General features: G+C 40.0%; 1 protein-coding gene across 7 annotated transcripts in view; it reads right to left on the reverse strand.

Moving 5' to 3' along the window:
- RGPD8 (RANBP2 like and GRIP domain containing 8) overlaps window positions 1-18,394 on the reverse strand; it is a 65,277-nt gene that overhangs the window by 39,047 nt on the left and 7,836 nt on the right. For 6 of the 7 annotated variants that reach the window (NM_001164463.1, XM_024453101.2, XM_005263747.6 and 3 more), the window contains exons 2-7: window positions 16,825-16,892; window positions 15,133-15,244; window positions 14,545-14,697; window positions 10,269-10,499; window positions 9,778-9,923; window positions 5,016-5,211 (exon numbers count right to left, since the gene is read on the reverse strand). In NM_001164463.1, the coding sequence (NP_001157935.1) occupies window positions 5,016-5,211; window positions 9,778-9,923; window positions 10,269-10,499; window positions 14,545-14,697; window positions 15,133-15,244; window positions 16,825-16,892 (906 nt within the window). Of the gene's footprint in view, window positions 1-5,015; window positions 5,212-9,777; window positions 9,924-10,268; window positions 10,500-14,544; window positions 14,698-15,132; window positions 15,245-16,824; window positions 16,893-18,394 lie in introns of those variants that run through there. The other variant, XM_047445676.1, reaches the window with a different exon arrangement.

Below are 18,394 nucleotides of genomic sequence, written 5' to 3' on the forward strand. Positions count from 1 at the left end.
GGATAATAGGGGATAGCACTAGAATAAATGGGACAACCAGGAAATTAAAGAGATCCTCATGCAATAACCTATGGAAGAAAAAAAAAGCATGATGAATAGAATGGCGAAGGGAAGACGTGACAGCTGCCTTCAAATATTAAAATTATTTTATAAAAGAAATCATCAAAAGAAGAAACAAGACCAACAGGTAGAAGGCTTGAAGAATATTTTTATTCTATATAAGGAAGTACCAAGAGCCAAACCACCTAAAGATGCACTGGGCTATCTTGAAAAGTAATGAATGTCCATCACTGAAAACGTCCAGTCATAGGCAATGCCCGCTTACTAGAAACATGCCAAAAGTAACTATATGGGTGACTAGAGCATCGGCTTTTAATTCTATCACCACTTTCTTAATTGGTGGTGGAAATGTAATTTGATACAACCTCTTTAGGGTTAGATATTTGGCAACAGCTCTAAAAATTATAAATGCACAGATATACTTTGATACTGCAATTCTTTCAGGAATTCATGGCACAAGTTAATCATTGCTAAATTACTTGAAGTAGCATTTAAAACAAAAGTAAAAGCAAGCTAATGTCCTGGTTTTAGGACCCTGGTTTTAAAAACTCCAAAACTACAGTACATCCATACAATGGAATAATATGCAAGCATCCAAACTAATGAGAATGCCCTTTATATATACTGACATGGAAACATCTCCAAGATACAGTTAATGGAAATAAAGTAAATGCAATGTTCAAATGTTTTCCTCCTTCTTTTAAAGACAGGGGATATATGTGTGTTTACTTGGAGATGCATAAAACATTTCCTGAAGAACACACAAGAAAGCAATAACATTAGTTTCTTTGGGGGTGGAGAAAGTAAATAACTAGGGAACAGAAAGGAGTCTTCATAGCATATTCTTAAGAGCCGCCAGAATTTTAAACCATGTATATATAATTCTTTCCAAACATGCTCATTTTTCAAAATATATGATTTATGAACCTAAAAGCTTCTGATTTTGAATTTTAGAAATATTCGTATCGCCTATCCTTTTACTCACAAGTTTTCTAAACATCATGTCAAAGTTTGTCATCTATATGTTGAAAAGAGCACACAAAGTAAGAAACAAAATGTTGACATCATTCTTTTTGTTTTCAAACTGACCTCAATTCATAAACCCGGCCTCTTTTACAAAATTATTCAACAGTTGAATCTGTGACCAGTTAATTAGTTGTGAATCCACTCAATCAAATCATCTCAATTCACTATTTCCTTTTTTTTTTTTTTGAGATGGAGTCTCGCTCTGTCGCCAGGCTGGAGTGCTGCAGTGGCACGATCTCGGCTCACTGCAACCTCCGCCTCCTGGTTTCAAGCAATTCTCCTGTCTCGGCCTCTCAAGTAGCTGGGACTACAGGCACCCGCCACCATGCGTGGCTAATTTTTGTATTTTTAGTAGAGATGGGGTTTGACCATGTTGGTCAGGATGGTCTCAAACTCCTGACCTTAAGCGATCCGCCCGCCTCAGCCTCCCAAAGTGCTAAGATTATAGGTGTGAGCCACCACGCCTGGCTATTTCCTCATCTTAACTAAAAGGTTTCAAGATACTTTGTTAACTACCTAGCTGCAATGCAGATGCACTTACTAGAACCACAGTATTCCTCTGATTAAGAGTCTGAAAATCTTGCCATAAAAGTTAGCCAATTCTTAAATACCCAAATGCCAGCACATAACCTACATTTTATGCTTATAATCATTTGTTCATTAAGCTTTAAAATAAACTGATCAAATAAAATACAAGCATCTAAGATGTTTCTATTATATATTCATTCTACAGAAATATGTGGTAGTTAATAAAGACTGAGGTAGGTATCTCTGTGCTGAAGTGGAACAATGAAGAAACATTTAGAAAAGCAAGGCATCTGGCAATAGGTAAAGCACACCCACACTGAGGCACAATATTTTTTAAAAGCAGAGAAAGAATGTATTGCACATTTGCATATGCAAAAAATATTTCTGAACACCCAAGAAACTCCTAACAGTAGCTGTCATCTAGGAAAGGAGACCTGAGTGAATGGATTAAGAGGGAAACTAACTTATTATGATTAAAAGTTCACAGTCAGGTGTGGTGGCTCATACCTGTAATCTCAGCACTTTGGGAGGGCAAGGCAGAAAGATCACTTGAAGCCAGGAGTTCAAGACCAACCAGCCTGGGAAACATAGCAAGACCTTGTCTTTACAAAAAATTTAACAATGTAGCCAGGCATGGTGGCAGGCACCTGTAGTCCCAGCTACTGAGCTGAGGCTGAAGCAGGAGAGGATCACTTGAGCCCAGGAGTTCGAGGATGCAGTGAGTTATGATCATGCCACTGCACTCCAGCCAGAGCAAGAGTGAGACTCTGCCTCCCAAAACTACATATCAAAAAATTTTAGGCTGTGCGCAGCAGCTCACACCTATAATCCCAGCACTCTGGGAAGCTCGAGCCCAGTTCAATGTTATGGTGAGCTACGATTACGCAACTGCACTCCAGCCTGGGTGACACAGCAAGACTCTAATAGACACACAGACAGATAAATTTTAAAGTTTCCATTAAAAATAAGAACTATTGGCAGGGTGCGGTGGCTCACACCTGTAATGCCAGCACTTTGGGAGGCCAAGGTGGGCGGATCATGAGGTCAGGAGATCGAGACCATCCTGGCTAACACGGTGAAACCCCATCTCTACTGAAAATACAAAAAAATTAGCCAGGCGTGGTGGTGGGTGCCTGTAGTCCCAGCTACTCGGGAGGCTGAGGCAGGAGAATGGCGTGAACCCAGGAGGCGGAGCTTGCAGTGAGCCGAGGTCGTGCCACTGTGCTCCAGCCTGGGTGACAGAGTGAGACTCCATCTCAAAAAAAAATAAAATAAATAAAAATAAGAACTATCAGTTACTTGAGAATTTCTATAAGAACCTTTTAATGTTTGTATTACCTAGTGAACCTCACTAAATCCATTAATTTTCACTAATCCATTCCTTATGAACACAGAAGTTTCTACTGAGCAAATATTAGCACTTAACATGTGAACTGTCTATCAACGGTGTTTTTAAAAGATTTACAGGCCGGGCTCAATGGCTCATGCCTGTAATCCCAGCACTTTGAGAGGCCGAGTTGGGTGGATCACGAGGTCAGAAGATCGAGACCATCCTGGCTAACATGGTGAAATCCCATCTCTATTAAAAAATACAAAAAATTAGCCAGGCATGGTGGTGTGTGCCTGTAATCCCAGATACGTGACAGGCTGAAGCAGGAGAATCACTTGAACCCAGGAGACACAGGTTGCAGTGAGCTGAGATTGCACCACTGCACTCCAGCCTTGTGACAGAGCGAGACTCCGTCTCAAATAAAAATAAAAAGATTTATATTAGGCAGGGCATGCTGGCTCACTGCCTGTAATCCCAGCACTTTGAGAGGCCGAGACGCGCAGATCACCTGAGTTCAGGAGCTCAAGACCAGCCTGACCAACATGGAGAAACCTCGTCTCTACTAAAAACACAAAATTAGATGGGCGTGGTGGCGTGTGCCTGTAATCCCAGCTACTCGGGAGGCTGAAGCAGGACAATCGCTTGAACCCGGGAGGCAGAGGTTGCAGTGAGCCAGATGGCGCCATTGCACTCCAGCCTGGGCAACAAGAGCAAAACTCCGTCTCAAAAAGAAAAAAAGATTTATATTAGAAGGAGGGGCCTTCTCTAAAAGTAATGAATCCTTTTTTTTCCCTCCCCAAGCAAAAAATCCTTCTCTAAAATTAATCATCTTTCTAAGCCTGGTTTAATGTTTTTTTGGAAGACTGCTTATTTCTTTTCCTTTCGAAAGTTATGCAAGCTCATTAAAAAAAAAAAAAAAAAAAAAAGGCCAGGCATGGTGGCTCATGTCTGTAAATCCCAGCACTTTGGGAGGCCGAGGCAGGTGGATGACTAGGTCAGGAGATTGAGACCATCCTGGCTACCACGGTGAAACCCCGTCTCTACTAAAAGTACAAAAAAAAATTAGCCAGGCATGGTGGCGGGTGCCTGTAGTCCCAGCTACTCAGGAGGCTGAGGCAGGAAAATGGCGTGAACTCGGGAGGTGGAGCTTGCAGTGAGCCGAGATCATGCCACTGCACTCCAGCCTGGGCGACAGAGCGAGACTGCGTCTCAAAAAAAAAAAAAAAAAAAAAAAAAAAAAAAGCCAGGCGCGCCAGGCGCAGTGCCTCGCGCCTGTAATCCCAGCACTTTGGGAGACCAAGGCAGGTAGATCAAGAGGTCAAGAGATTGCGACCATCCTGGCCAACATGGTGAAACCCCATCTCTATTAAAAATACAAAAAATTAGCTGGGCTTGGTAGCATGGGCCTGTAGTCCCAGCTACTCGGGAGGCTGAGGCAGGAGAATCACTCGAACCCAGGAGGTGGAGGCTGCAGTGAGCCGAGATCACGCCACTGCACTCCAGCCTGGCGACAGAGAGAGACTTGGTCTCAAAAAAAATAAAAAAATAAAAAATAAGAAAAGGTTTTATGTTTTCAAAGATTAATAGATATACTGTTACATATACACAATACAGTCATAAATGTTATATACATGTGTTTCAATTAACATGTTAAATTGCAATCATATTCTTCTATCATAGGCTATAAAGCCATTGCCCTACGTCTACTTATTAGGATTTTGTCCAAGTAACACATCTTTTTGAATCAAGCTTTACCCATAATACGAGATTACATCTTTATCATGTTCCCAAAAATGGCAGAGTAAAAAGATCAAACTCTTCAAATTTGTCTACAAACAAATCATGGCAATGCAGGCTTTCGACAAGAGTGCATTCAACATCCCTGTTTCACCAGCCTCACCAGTATTGTGTATGCTTAGTTATTTTCCACTGTATCAAATTGACTATTTCATTTTAACTTTAATTCCACAGGTTTGTTCACATATTGTCATTACATACCAGAGCACACCTTCATTTAAAACACATCAAGACTCCGTGAAATGTCAATTGCTCCTACAAGTGGAAGACTTACCTGAAATGCTATGAGATAGCACAATGCAGCCAGCTCAGAAAGAGCTCGCCATTGAACATTATTACCATGCTGACCCATCTTCAAGAGCAGAGAACCAGCATACATATAGAAATGTCCTTTCATTTCTAAGAAAGTAGCTGACAGTTCATCATTTCCACCCAAAGAAGATTTCGCAGACTGAAGAGCACTATCAAAACTGTAATATGAAAATATCAAACAGATGATACACACTTACTGCACTGTGAATAATCATGGTTGATTTAATTCAAAACAAAATAAAAATTTTATTTCAAGCTTCATCTTCCACATTCAACTTCTAATAATTCTTATTCCCCATGTTATAAATTATGAATCATCTAATGCTTATTTTTATCCTGCATACTTCCTATACTTCATGCTTAACCTCTCAAATGATGTCTTATTCCCAGTTATTTCCAGCCCTCCAATCACAGGATAAATATAAGATTAGTGATTATAGGTGCACATTTCAAAATAAACCAGGATAAAGTTGGGAGACTATTTTGTAGTTTCTTCCTGATCATATAATTTCATTATTTAATTAACAGTTGTAATTTCTCAAATTAGACATACCATTTCCAAATTATAAGTAAATAACTGACAGGTATTTGAGTATCAATACAGCAATTGCTCTTTTTACTATATAGATCATTACAGCGTTAAATAAATTGTCTTTTTTTTTTTTTTTTTGAGACGGAGTCTCTCACTACCGCCTGGGCTGGAGTGCAATGGCACGATCTAAGCTCACTGCAACCTCCACCTCCCAGGTTCAAGTGATTCTCCCGACTCAGCCTCCTGAGTAGCTGGGATTACAGGCACCTGCCACCATGCCCCGCTAAACTTTTTTTATATTTTTAGTAGAGACAGGGTTTCACTATGTTGGCCAGGCTGGTCTCGAACTCCTGACCTCACGATCCGCCCGCCTCAGTTTACCAATGTGCTGGGATTACAGGCATGAGCCACTATGTCTGGCCTACTATTTGTAATCTATATTCTAAATTAGTTCTTCTAAATCCTAATGTTTCTCCAAATCCTCACTTTGGAAGAAAAGTAAAAGCAAAAAGCAAACACTTAAACGTGAAGCATGATTTTAAAGTGGCTTACAATAAAGCAACCAGAGCAAGTGAGGTCTAAAGATCTCTGAGGGTGCTCAAAAACCCCTTCAGGGGATCCATGAAGTTAAAATTACTTTTACAATACCAAAAAAAATTTATATATTACATACTCATTTTCTCATGTATGTAGAGCTGACTTTTTTTGTTTTTGTTTTTGGAGACAGAATCTCACTCTGTCACAAGGCTGGAGTGCAGTGGCACAATCTTGGCTTACTGCAACCTCTGACTCCCAGGTTCAAGCGATTCTTCTGCCTCAGCCTCCCGAGCAGCTGGGACTATAGGCGTGTACCAACATGCCCGGCTAATTTTTTGTATTTTTAGTAGAGACAAGGTTTCACCATTGTTAGCTGGGATGGTCTCGATCTCCTGACTTCGTGATCCACCCGCCTCGGCCTCCCAAAGTGCTGGGATTACAGGCCTGAGCCACCGCGCCCCGCTGAGCTGAGTTTTCTAGAGGCTTCATGACATGTAATAGTTTTACAGACTGAAAGAGGAAGTAAATGAGAATCTAGCTATGTTCTATTAAGCGAGACATTAAAAAGATTTACAACAATGCAAAAACAATGACACTTTTCTGACTACTTTTTTGCTGTTGGGAAATAGTTATTTTTCATAAAAAATGCTATTATTGGCCCTGCGCAGTGGCTCACACATGTAATTCCAGCACTTTGGGAGGCCGAGGCGGGTGGATCACCTGAGGTCAGGAGTTCAAGACCAGCCTAGCCAACATGGTGAAACCCCATCTCTACTAAAAATACAAAAAATTAGCCAGGCGTGGTGGTGGGCACCTGTAATTCCAGCTACTTGGGAGGCTGAGGCAGGAGAATCGCTTGAACCTGGGAAGCAGAGGTTGCAGTGATCCGAGATCACACTGTTGCACTCTAGCCTGGGCAACAAGAGCAAAACTCCGTCTCAAAAAAAAAAAAAAAAAGCTATTATTATTAACACACAATAGGGCTTATTACATTTTTAATGGATTACATTTTTTGTTTTAATTTCTAATGTAATAAACACTGACAGAAATAACCCACATACGGCCGGATGCAGTGGCTCAGACCTGCAATCCCAGCACTTTGGAAGGCCAAGGCAGGCGGATCACGAGGTCAAGAGATTGAGACCTTCCAGTACTTTGGGAGGCCAAGGTAGACGGATCAAGAGGTCAAGAGACCGAGACCAGCCGGGCGTGGTGGCTCATGCCTGTAATCCCAGCACTTTGGGAGGCTGAGGCAGGCGGATCACAAGGTCAGGATATCAAGACCATCCTGGCTAACACGGTGAAACCCCATCTCTACTAAAAATACAAAAAATTAGCTGGGTGTGGTGGCGGGCACCTGTAGGCCCAGCTACTCGGGAGGCTGAGGCAGGAGAATGGCATGAACCCTGGAGACAGAGCTTGCAGTGAGCCGAGATGGCGCCACTGCACTCCAGCCTGGGCAACAGAGCGAGACTCCATCTCAAAAAAAAAAAAGATCGAGACCATCCTGGCCAACATGATGAAACCCTGTTTCTACTAAAAATACAAAAACTAGCCAGGTGTGGGCTGGGCGCGGTGGCTCACCCCTGTAATCCCAACACTTCGGGAGGCCGAGGAGGGCAGATCACGAGGTCAGGAGATCGAGACCATCCTGGCTAACACGGTGACACTCCGTCTCTACTAAAAATACAAAAAAAATTAGCCGAGCGTGGTGGTGGGCGCCTGTAGTCCCAGCTACTCAGGAGGCTGAGGCAGAAGAATGGCATGAACCTGGGAGGTTCACAAGGCGGGTAACAAAGGGCCCATGAGGCCTGATTAACTGATCTGACAAACCATCTGTCACCCACAGCCCTAAGCCACACTGTGAAACTGCCTAGGGTGGCACCAGCTTTTTATCTTCCTCAGGGTCCTCCCCTCAGGCCCCCAAGTCACCCCATCATGGTCCAGATTCTCCCCTGAGTGACTCCATCCCCATGGTCATTTCCCCTCCTGAGCCTCCCCCTCTGAGGGCCAAGGGCTGTCCTCAGGGCCCTCCTGGGGCTTCCTGGTGGGGAACAACCTGAGGCAGGAGGATAAGCTCTTATTCAGAGCATTGAGAGGAAATTGTGAAGCTTGCAGTGAGCCGAGATTGTGCCACTGTACTCCAGGCTGGGTGACAGAGCGAGACTCTGTCTCAAAAAAAAAAAAAAAAAAAAATTAGCCAGGTGTGGTGTCGGGCACATGTAGTCCCACCTATTCAGGAGGCAGAGACAAGAGAATCACTTGAACCCAGGAGGCAGAGGTTGCAGTGAGCCGAGACTGCACCACTGCATGCCAACCTGGCGAGAGCAAGACTCAGTCTCAAAAAAAAAAAAAGAGAGATTGAGACCATCCTGAACCCCGTCTCTACTAAAAATACAAAAATTAGCTGGGCGTAGTGGTGTGTGCCTGTGGTCCCAGCTACTTGGGAGGCTGAGGCAGGAGAATCGCCTGAACCCGGGAGGCGGAGGTTACAGTGAGCCAAGGTCGTGCCACTGCACTCCAGCCTGGTGACAGAGCAAGACTCCATCTCAAAAAAAAAAAAAAAAAAAAAAAGAAAGAAAGAAAAAAAGGAACCCACATACAAAGATCTTTGATGTCCTTAAGAAAAATGTAAAAGGAACTTGTGACCAAAAAATTTGAGTATACAAAGAACACAAAATAAAACATCCTACATGTTTTCTAAAATAATCTTAAAGTTATGTTAGTTCTTTTAGATACTGCTCTTACCCTACCAATTTAGGACACTATGTACTTTTTCAAGAAAATTACCTACTCCCTGCACTCAGTGAAATGAACTTCTTTCCTTATACCAGATGGGGAAATAAATTAACTTCCAAACAAATGGACAGCCTAAATTAGCAATCAGTAAACTTTTTCTACAAAAGGAGGAGATTACTAATCTGGCTTTACAGGCATACAATCTCTGCTGAAACCACTCAACTCCAACCCTGTAGTATGTAAGCAGCCACAGACAATACATAAACAGAGGCAAGCTGCATTCCAATAAATATTAACAAAATTAGGCAGGGGCCATATTTGGCCCACAAGTTCTAATCAACCCCTGCTCTAAACTAACATCTTTATACAAATCCAAGTGATGTTTTTGTTCAATGGAATTTATTTTCAAAATGGAGACACTGGTTTTCAAAATCAAAATTTAGGAAAAAAGGTAAATCACATAGTTGAGTTATTTTGTTTCTTAGCTAAAACAGTATTTTCTGAAATACCAGTGATGCTAAGTGCTTATACTAGTACATGTGAACCTAGCCATCTGATGACAGATGAACTTTAATTTTCACTAAAGATTATACTATTATAAAAAAATAAAATATGAAATAGCAGTTAGAACATTCATTTTAAGCTTGACTATGACAAAACTGAGTAACCATAAGGCTAATTTTAATCAAGCTTGAACTATAAGAGTTCTCTAAAAAGGAAAGTCATATAAAACCAATTAGAACTTCCCTGTAAAAGAAGAAAAATAAGATTGCCTCCTAGCGGTTCACTGTATTAACTATAACTCCTAGGTACATTATAGAAATAATGATTCAGTGAAGAAGTTTAGAGCAATGAACTTACTGCAAAAAGAAAAACTGCAATTTATACTAAAGCATTCTCCTCAAAGTCTACGCACCTTTCCAGTAATTCTCTATTTTCCTGCACATCTCTAGTGGAAAGCGTAAGAAGCATAAGATTAGCATAGGCCAGCAGTAAGTCTGTATTGGTTGCTCGCCAGTCACTTTTATCAGACTCCAAACACTGTAAAGACTCCAGATATTCCTATTTTGTGGAATGAATAGTAAGTTACAAAACTTAATCAAGTGTTAAGTAATTAACCATTTTATGCCTACAAATTCCTTTTCTCACTCCAACCACATTTGTGAAACTACATTGATTTTTACATCAACCTTATAAATGAAAACACCAAAAATATATACATTTATCATAGTTATCTCCCCAATCTTCCCATTATAAATTTAACTGATCCTGGTAAAAATTTCATTTTATAACTGTTCTACATAAATAAAAGAAATTTAAGTCCTGCGGGGCACTGCTGCTTTAGTACAAAAAGATGTATGCTAATTGCCTACATAGAAATGTAAAGACTCAATAGCTTTTATCTACCTTAAGGGTCTGTACAACACACGAATTCCACTCTAAACTTGAACGCAAAGCTATGTTCCTCTCTGCCTCATGGCAGTGGGCCACAGCATCCTTCAATCTTTTAGTTGAGCGATACAACTCCACTAGCCGGATGTTCACATGGACGTCATCAGGTCTTACATAAAGTTCTGACTGAATCAAGTCAAAAAGTTTATTCCATCCATCTTCACCTTCACAATCTAGAAGCTGTTCCTATTTAGAGAGGAAAAAGAAAAATTATTAGAGTAACACTTGTGCAACTTTAAACAAGTCATGCTCCCAAAAAGCACCATTCCACTATGTCTAGTTTTATGATGATGCCACCAAAAACACCATCCTAAATACCTTATTCGTCCCTTCTGAGAGTTGCTTACAACCCAGAAACTAAGCCTCAAGAACTGTATGTGAAGAAAAGCATCTGTGATTACTGCAGTAGCTCATACTCTCTTCAGAGACTACCAGGACTAATGCCACACATTCCTGTCCATCTGAGTCACCACCAGAAGCCTAGACCTCCCCAGTCAATCCTCAGCAACAAGGTCCTTATGTTCAAACTGCTCTGTATCTCCTTAAATCTGATTCAATCCTGCATCCCCTCTCCTCCCACTGTTCTGTTACCTTTATCATCATCTCAAAGCACTGTCATCACCTCCTGACCTTAAATGAAGACAGTATCATCTCAGGATAACCCCCACTACCATGATGGCTTTTTCTCTCTGAACTTACATACGAGGAGAGGAAGTAGGGTTTGTGGCCACTCGCTTCTCATTTGCGATGCTCTTCCATCAGCCTCTCAAGAAGCTAGGACCATAGGCATGCACCACCATGCCCGGCTAATTTTTTTTTAACGTTCTGTAGAGATGGGGTCTTGCCGTGTTGCCCAGGCTGACTACTCAGTTCCTTAATCACCTCATCTCCAGTGATGTTATCCTCTACTCCAACCTCAACCATCCACTTGCCACTGACACAGGTCTTCAAAATCTGCATTTTGGTCATACCACCGAAACCACCATACCACCCTTCTTATTCTTCCACCTCACTGAGGGCCTACATACCCTTACTTTCAGAAATATACTTCTCCACCATATGACAAGTTCCCTTCAAGACAATAACATCATCAAGTTTTAAACACCTGTAAACACATATAAATACACACACTTTCTTCTGTCAGGCAAAAAATGCTATAATCCCTTATATCCATAATTACTGTTTGCTTACAGATCCCTTCAACTAATTCCCTCTTTTCCTCAGAAGAACCCTCCCAACTGGTTTCTGTGTGCTTAGATTTGGGAAATCATAACCCCAAGCTAACTGATTTCATTTGCATTATCTCAACCATCAAACTGGTGCTGCCTAAAACAAAATACCATTTTAGTACTAACAGACTCACTTTCTCCACTCCCTGACACTTCACACCTCCTCCTATTTCCTCAACTTCCCCATACCTTCCTTTGACCCTCACTTTCAACTTATAACCTAGATTCATCCTTCACTGAGAAACCTGATGCTATCACATATAAATTCCATTTTACCTTACCTACTTAAACTCGTCTTTCCCCAACTCTCAAGACCAAGCCGCCCATTAGTACTCTGTATTTCATTCCCCTCTCTCCTTTATCAATTTCTCCTCTTCTGGATGAGATGGATGAAACCCTGGCCTCTCCCTATTGCAAAAGCCCTAGTCTTTGACTCTATGTTAAACATTTTTTTAAAAACCACTATGAGTGCTTTTAAAAAGTTCTATCTCATACTTGAGAGAAAAAGCCTTCTCAACAGTAATACTCTCATTCATTAAACAAATGTCAGAAACTGTTTACCTTAGCAAGCCTTAAATTTTAGGAGAAATGGAATTACTTTGCATGACAGTTATAAATCTCATGGATTTCAATTCCAAAAAAAAAAAATCTGATACAGGAAAGGTGTAACAGTGCCTTCAAGTTATTAAAGAAAATCTTTAAAGAGTGCTTCAAAGTATCTAACTTGTTACACTGCAAGAAAAGAATCTCCTGCCATTACATATGTTCTTTAACACTACTGACACCAGATTAACTGGATTGCCACGCCCAATATGGGAGTTATGTTTGAGGCATAACACCTAAGAGAGTAAAGAAATCTGCACAATTAGACCTCACGCTTTAGACTAACATTTAAAATCCAGCTGCTTATTACTGGGGAGAAAAACTTATCAGTAATATTTATCTTTGGAAGCATCTTCAATGCTTTTTCAGCTTCAAAAATCTGTACATGATTGTTCATAGCAGTTGAACAATAGCCAAAACCTAGAAATAACCAAAATGCCCCTCAAAAGTGAATGGTTAAGGCTGGGCACAGTGGCTCACACCTGTAATCCCAGCACTTTGGGAGGCCAAAGTGGGTGGATCACCTGAGAACCTGGGAGGCAGAAGTTGCAGTGAGCCGAGGTAGCACCACTGCACTCCAGCATGGGCAACAGAGCAAGACTCTGTCTCAAAAAAAAAAAAAAAAAAAAAAAAAAAAGTGAATGGTTAAATTGTGGACCATGAAATACTACTCAGAAGTAAAGGAACCAACTATGGATATACAAAACTTAATATGGATCACAAATGGTATTATGCTGACTGAACAAGCCAACCTCAAAAGGTCACATGCTTGGCTGGCCGCGGTGGCTCACGCCTGTAATCCTAGCACTTTGGGAGGCTGGGGTGGGCAGATCACAGGAGGTCAGGAGTTCGAGACCAGCCAGTTTCTACTAAAAATACAAAAATAAGCGGGACATGGTAACATGTGCCTGTAGTCCCAGCTACCCGGAAGGCCGAGGCAGGAGAATCGCTTGAACCTGGGAGGCGGAGGTGGCAGTGAGCCGAGATTGCGCCAGTGAACTCCAACCTGGGCAACAGAGCGAGACTCCGTCTCAAAAACAATGAAAAAAGAAAAAAAAAGTCACACATTTCATGATGACATTTACATAACATTTTGAAATCACCAAAGTATAAAGATGGAGAACAGATTAATGGTTGCCAGAGGTCAGGCATAGTGAAGAGAAGTAAATAGCATGACTACAAAAGGGGCAGCATGAGGAAGATCTCTGTGGTAACAGAGTAGTTCTGTATCTTGACGGCAGTGGTGGTATGAATCTACACGTGATAAAATGAAAGAAAACTATACATACACATTGTACCAATGTCAAAATTCCTGATTTTGATACTGTGCTTTGGTCAGGTTAAACAGGTTGAGTATCCCTTATCCAAAATGCTTGAGACCAGAAGTATTTCAGATTTTGAACTTTTTCAGACTTTGGAATATTTGCAGGATACTTAGCAGATAGAGCATCCCAAATCTGAAAATCTGAAATCCAAAATTTTCCAATGAGCATTTCTTTGAGCATCATGTCAGTGCTCAAAAAATTTCAGATTTTGGAGCATTTAGGATTTCGGATTTTAAATGCTCAACCTGTATAAGCATTGGGGAAAAATGAAGTAGCATATAGGATCTTTCTGTGCAAACTTTGCAACTTCCTGTGCAAAAAAATCTATAATTATTTCAAAATTAAAATTTTTTAAATTTCTATCAGAAACATATATGATGGGGGTAGGAGGAAGCTAAAGGCAAATATACATTTATAATTTTATATTGTACACACACAATAAAGTATACATTAATATATAAAACATTACAATATACATTTTAAATGTTTGCCAAACATATTTGTGTAGATTTCTCCAGAACAGTTACTTAGTAAACTATATTTTACTCTATAAAGAATATCAGGACCAGTCAACACACTAGCAAGAACTTCCTACCATTTTTAGTAATTACGTCTTATATACTACAGAAACCACCTTTTATCTTTTGCTTGAAAACCTTACTATCTCAAAATACAATCCCTTCTACTTTCAGACAATAGTTATCAGAAAACTCTTCTTTAAAATATCCCTAAATTGTCATCCTGTAGGTAATTTTCACTTAATGAAGCAAAAATTGTATATCAGACAGAACTTAATGTAAATCTTAGCTCTACTTAGTTTACAGCTACTAAACTGTAAAATCCCTAAAATATTAATTATTCCAGAAGGGTAAATGAGATGTCACTTATAAAGTATAACAATGCCTAATAAGACAGTAGATGCTCAGAAAGGTTTTAATACACTTTTTAAAAGAAAAATGTTAAAGGAAACACAAACACCTGAGCTTAAGGTTTGCTATTGAAAAGTAATTTAAACTCCAAATATTAGAAATGGTTATGTCTTAAGTTTTCTCCCTTTATGTTTTGTTTGTTTACCTTTAGTTTATAAATTGCAGGACTTCCTGGGAAAAGTTTTGCTGCTCTTTCGACCCAGTATTTTGCTCTTCCATCAGTAACATCATTTTTACAAAGCAATTCTGCAATCTTCAACACAAGATCTTTTTGTGTTGGGTTTAATTCCACTGAACGCTAATATCAGAAAAGAAATTAAAGATTAGTAAATAAATTGTATGTATGTATGTAGGAGTATATATACTTATACATAAAGGTTAAAAATTATCACTCCAACCCTTAAAAAATTCTACTTCTAGAGAAAACATGTTACTTTAAAGGTGTTAAAATAAAAGTGTCTTGGAATTTTCTAGAAATGAATCAAATAAAAATTATATTTGTGTCATTTGAATGCAAAAAACACAAAAGAACACCATTTCTGACCGTGTTAGACTTACAATTTATAGGTGTTAAACAATTCTAAATCTGTTCCAAGCTGTGTCACATAATTGTACTATGATACCAATGCCTGTTTTATGATATTTATAAAATATATTTGACTTACTTATATAAATTTCTCTGGGCATCATGTGTTTGGCTATGCAAAGGCTATATTTGAATCCTATAACTTACCCTGTAACATTCAACGGCTTTCTCTGTGTTTTCTTCCAATTCATAAAGAAGACCCAGAAATCTGTGAGCTTTGGGATCCCTCTCTTGCACATTAATGTAAGTACATATGTATCTGTTTTTTAAAAGTAATACAAAAGTAAATTAAACTTAGAACTGTACTTTTAAATGCTAACCGAAGAATACATCTTAAACCAAAGCAACCACTAAACTCGTTTATATTGTTACTCAAAACTACCACTATTTATGCAGATAACTCAAAAGTATTCATAGAAAGAAATGGGTAATACTTAAAAACACGTACATAGAGTTGACCACATACTCATTTTACCATTAAATGTCACATTTACCAAATTTTTCTCCAGTGTTAACCACACATAAGAAATGAACATATAGATTGCTTTTTCTTCCTGATCACATTTTAATAAAGCACTAACAGTTTTGCCAATAAATTAGAAGTGATTATAATAAACATTTTTAAAGTTATCATAATGCAAAATACTAAACAGCAACAATTTCCCAAACAACAAAGGGAAATACATTTACCCTTTAAGCAAGAAAGTAATTTCTAACAGTACTATATCCAGCTAAAATCGAACAGAAGAAAAATTACTAATTACAGTACCAAATACAGGAAATTTCCATTTCTCAAATCAAGTAACAACTAAAATAAGTAAATATCCTCTAGGTTCCTTGACAGTATTACGATCAGAGAAATTAGGCCAGACCTAAACTAAGGGATTAAAGTCTCACAGTAAAAAGGTACAAGAGTTAACAGTCACAGTGCTGCTAGTTACATAATTTATGTACCACCATTTTCCTTTCTTACCAGCATTTCCATCTTCCTTTGGATGCCTTTAAAAGCCTGCCTCCCAGCTGGGAGCAGTAACACACACCTGTAGTCCCAACACTATGGGAGGCCGAGGCAGGCAGACTGCTGTGCTCAGAAGTTCAAGACTAGCCTGGGCAACATAGTGACACCTGTCTCTACCAAAAAATGCAAACCTTAGCCAGGTCCACGTGGTGGTGCGCATCTGTATCCCCAGCTACTTGGGGCGCTGAGGTGGGAAGATCGCTTGAGCCCAGAAGGCAGAGGTTACAGTGAGCAAAGATGGAGCCAGCTGCTGCACTCCAGCCGGAGCAAGAGAGACAGATACTGCCTAAAAAAAAAAAAAAGCCTGCCTCCCTCTTAATTTCCTGCTTTAATCCACTCCCAGCCAGGAAATCAGAATCACCAAGCTTCTTATCCCTAGGATAGAGCCTTACAGCATCACATATTGTGTCAATTAAAGATCTTTTATACAAGCTATTCTCCTGCCTTACAATTACAGTTTAGTTTTTTATTCATTGCTATTTTCCATCTGATTAAGGTATCAGATATCTAACCAAAAACAAATTAAGATATAGGCATGGTCCTCTTTTACTCCAACAGAAGACAATTTTTAGAAAAAGTGTTTTAAGCCAAACAATTTCTTGCCCTTGGTATAAAGCAGCAGCATGCAGAAAACACTAATTGCAGTTTCAATCTCAATGGAATCTAGGCTGGTCCTTAGCATCAGTCTGAGTGATAAATCCCTTATTCCAGAATACACTTAGGAAGAACTACTAAGAACATATTTTTACCTATTTCAAAGAAGAAAATGAGAAAAGGCATTGATTTTAAAAAAAAGAATACATGTTACGGTTTGTACTTACTTTTTAGCAAGATCATATTCTTTAGCTTCATAATACAGCTTTGCAAAATAGAATCCTTTCATTGACTTCTAAAAAAAAATTAAAAGTTGTTTTATGTTTCATACAGAAATATTTTCCAACATTTTTTCAAAAGTAGTTAAAGCCTGACAAATGCATAATTCCATGTTTTATAATTTCCTACCACAAAACAAAAAATAGAGCTGGGTGCAGCGGCTCATGCCTGTAATCCCAGCACTTTGGGAGGCCGAAGTGGGCGGATCACCTGAGGTCAGGAGTTTGAGACCAGCCTGGCTAACATGGTGAAACCCCGTCTCTACAAAAATAGAAAAATTAGCCAGGCATGATGGCGGGTGCCTGTAATCCCAGCTACTCAGGAGGCTAAGGCACAAAAATCAGTTGAACCCAGGAGGTGGAGGTTGCAGTGAGCCAGAGGTTGCAGTCAGCTGAGATCGTGCCATTGCACTCCAGCCTGGGCGACAGAGACTCCATCTCCCAAACATCATCATCATCATCATCATCATCATCATCATAAATAAGCTGGGTGCAGTTGGTCACACCTTTAATTCTATTTAATTCTAGCACTTTCAGAGACCAAGGTGGGAGGCTAGCTTTGAGGCCAAGAGTTTGAAACCAGCCTGTGCAACACAACAAGATCCTGTCTCCAGGGGGAAAAAAATAGCCAGGCATAGTGGAGCATGCCTGTGTTCCTAGCTACTCAGGAGGCCAAGGAAGGAGAATCACTTGAGCCCAGGAGGTTGACACTGCCGTGAGTTATGACTGTGACACTGCACTCCAGCCTGGGTGACACAGGGAGATCCTCTCTCTAAATAATAAATACATAACATACAAAAAATAAATTCAAGAAAGCAAGACAAGCAGACAACAGAAGTTAAGAATTTTCATCAGCCTTGGAAATCTCGGAAACCCTGTGGTACCACTCTCTCACTTAACAAACAAAAGAAACCAGCTTTCTTTGGGGAGGAAAGGTATTCCAGAAATCTCTTCTCCTACCATGTGTAAGCCTCTATGGGAAAGAATAAATAAGTACTTAGGATCTATTAAGGCACTGAGGATTCCCGGGTCCATGTACTGTTCTCTCTACAGATCAGATCAGTATTTTACAGTCAAGGAGTCAAAAAGGCAGAAATAAATATTGAATTCTTCAAGTAATAAACGAGGTCCACAGCCTGGATCCTTGGTTACATAAACTCCAAAGTCCAAAATGCTGATGCACACCAGGCTGGGTGCGGTGGCTCACACCTGTAATCCCAGCACTTTCGGAGACTGAGGCGGGTGGATCACTTGAAGCCAAGAGTTCGAGACCAGCCTGGCCAACATACAGAAACCTCCTTTCTACTAAAAATACAAAAATTAGCTGGGCATGGTGGCACACGCCTGTAATCCCCGCTGCTTGGGAGGCTGAGGCAAAGAATCACTTGAACCCGGGAGGCAGAGGCTGCAGTGGGCCAAGATCGCACCACTGAACTCCAACCTGGGCAACAGAATGATTCCATCTCAAAAAAAAAAAAAAAAAAATGCTGATACAACCAGAGTATGTTCCATCCATGTG

The sequence above is a fragment of the Homo sapiens genome, chromosome 2, assembly GCF_000001405.40.
Source record: "Homo sapiens chromosome 2, GRCh38.p14 Primary Assembly".
Lineage (NCBI taxonomy): Eukaryota > Metazoa > Chordata > Mammalia > Primates > Hominidae > Homo > Homo sapiens.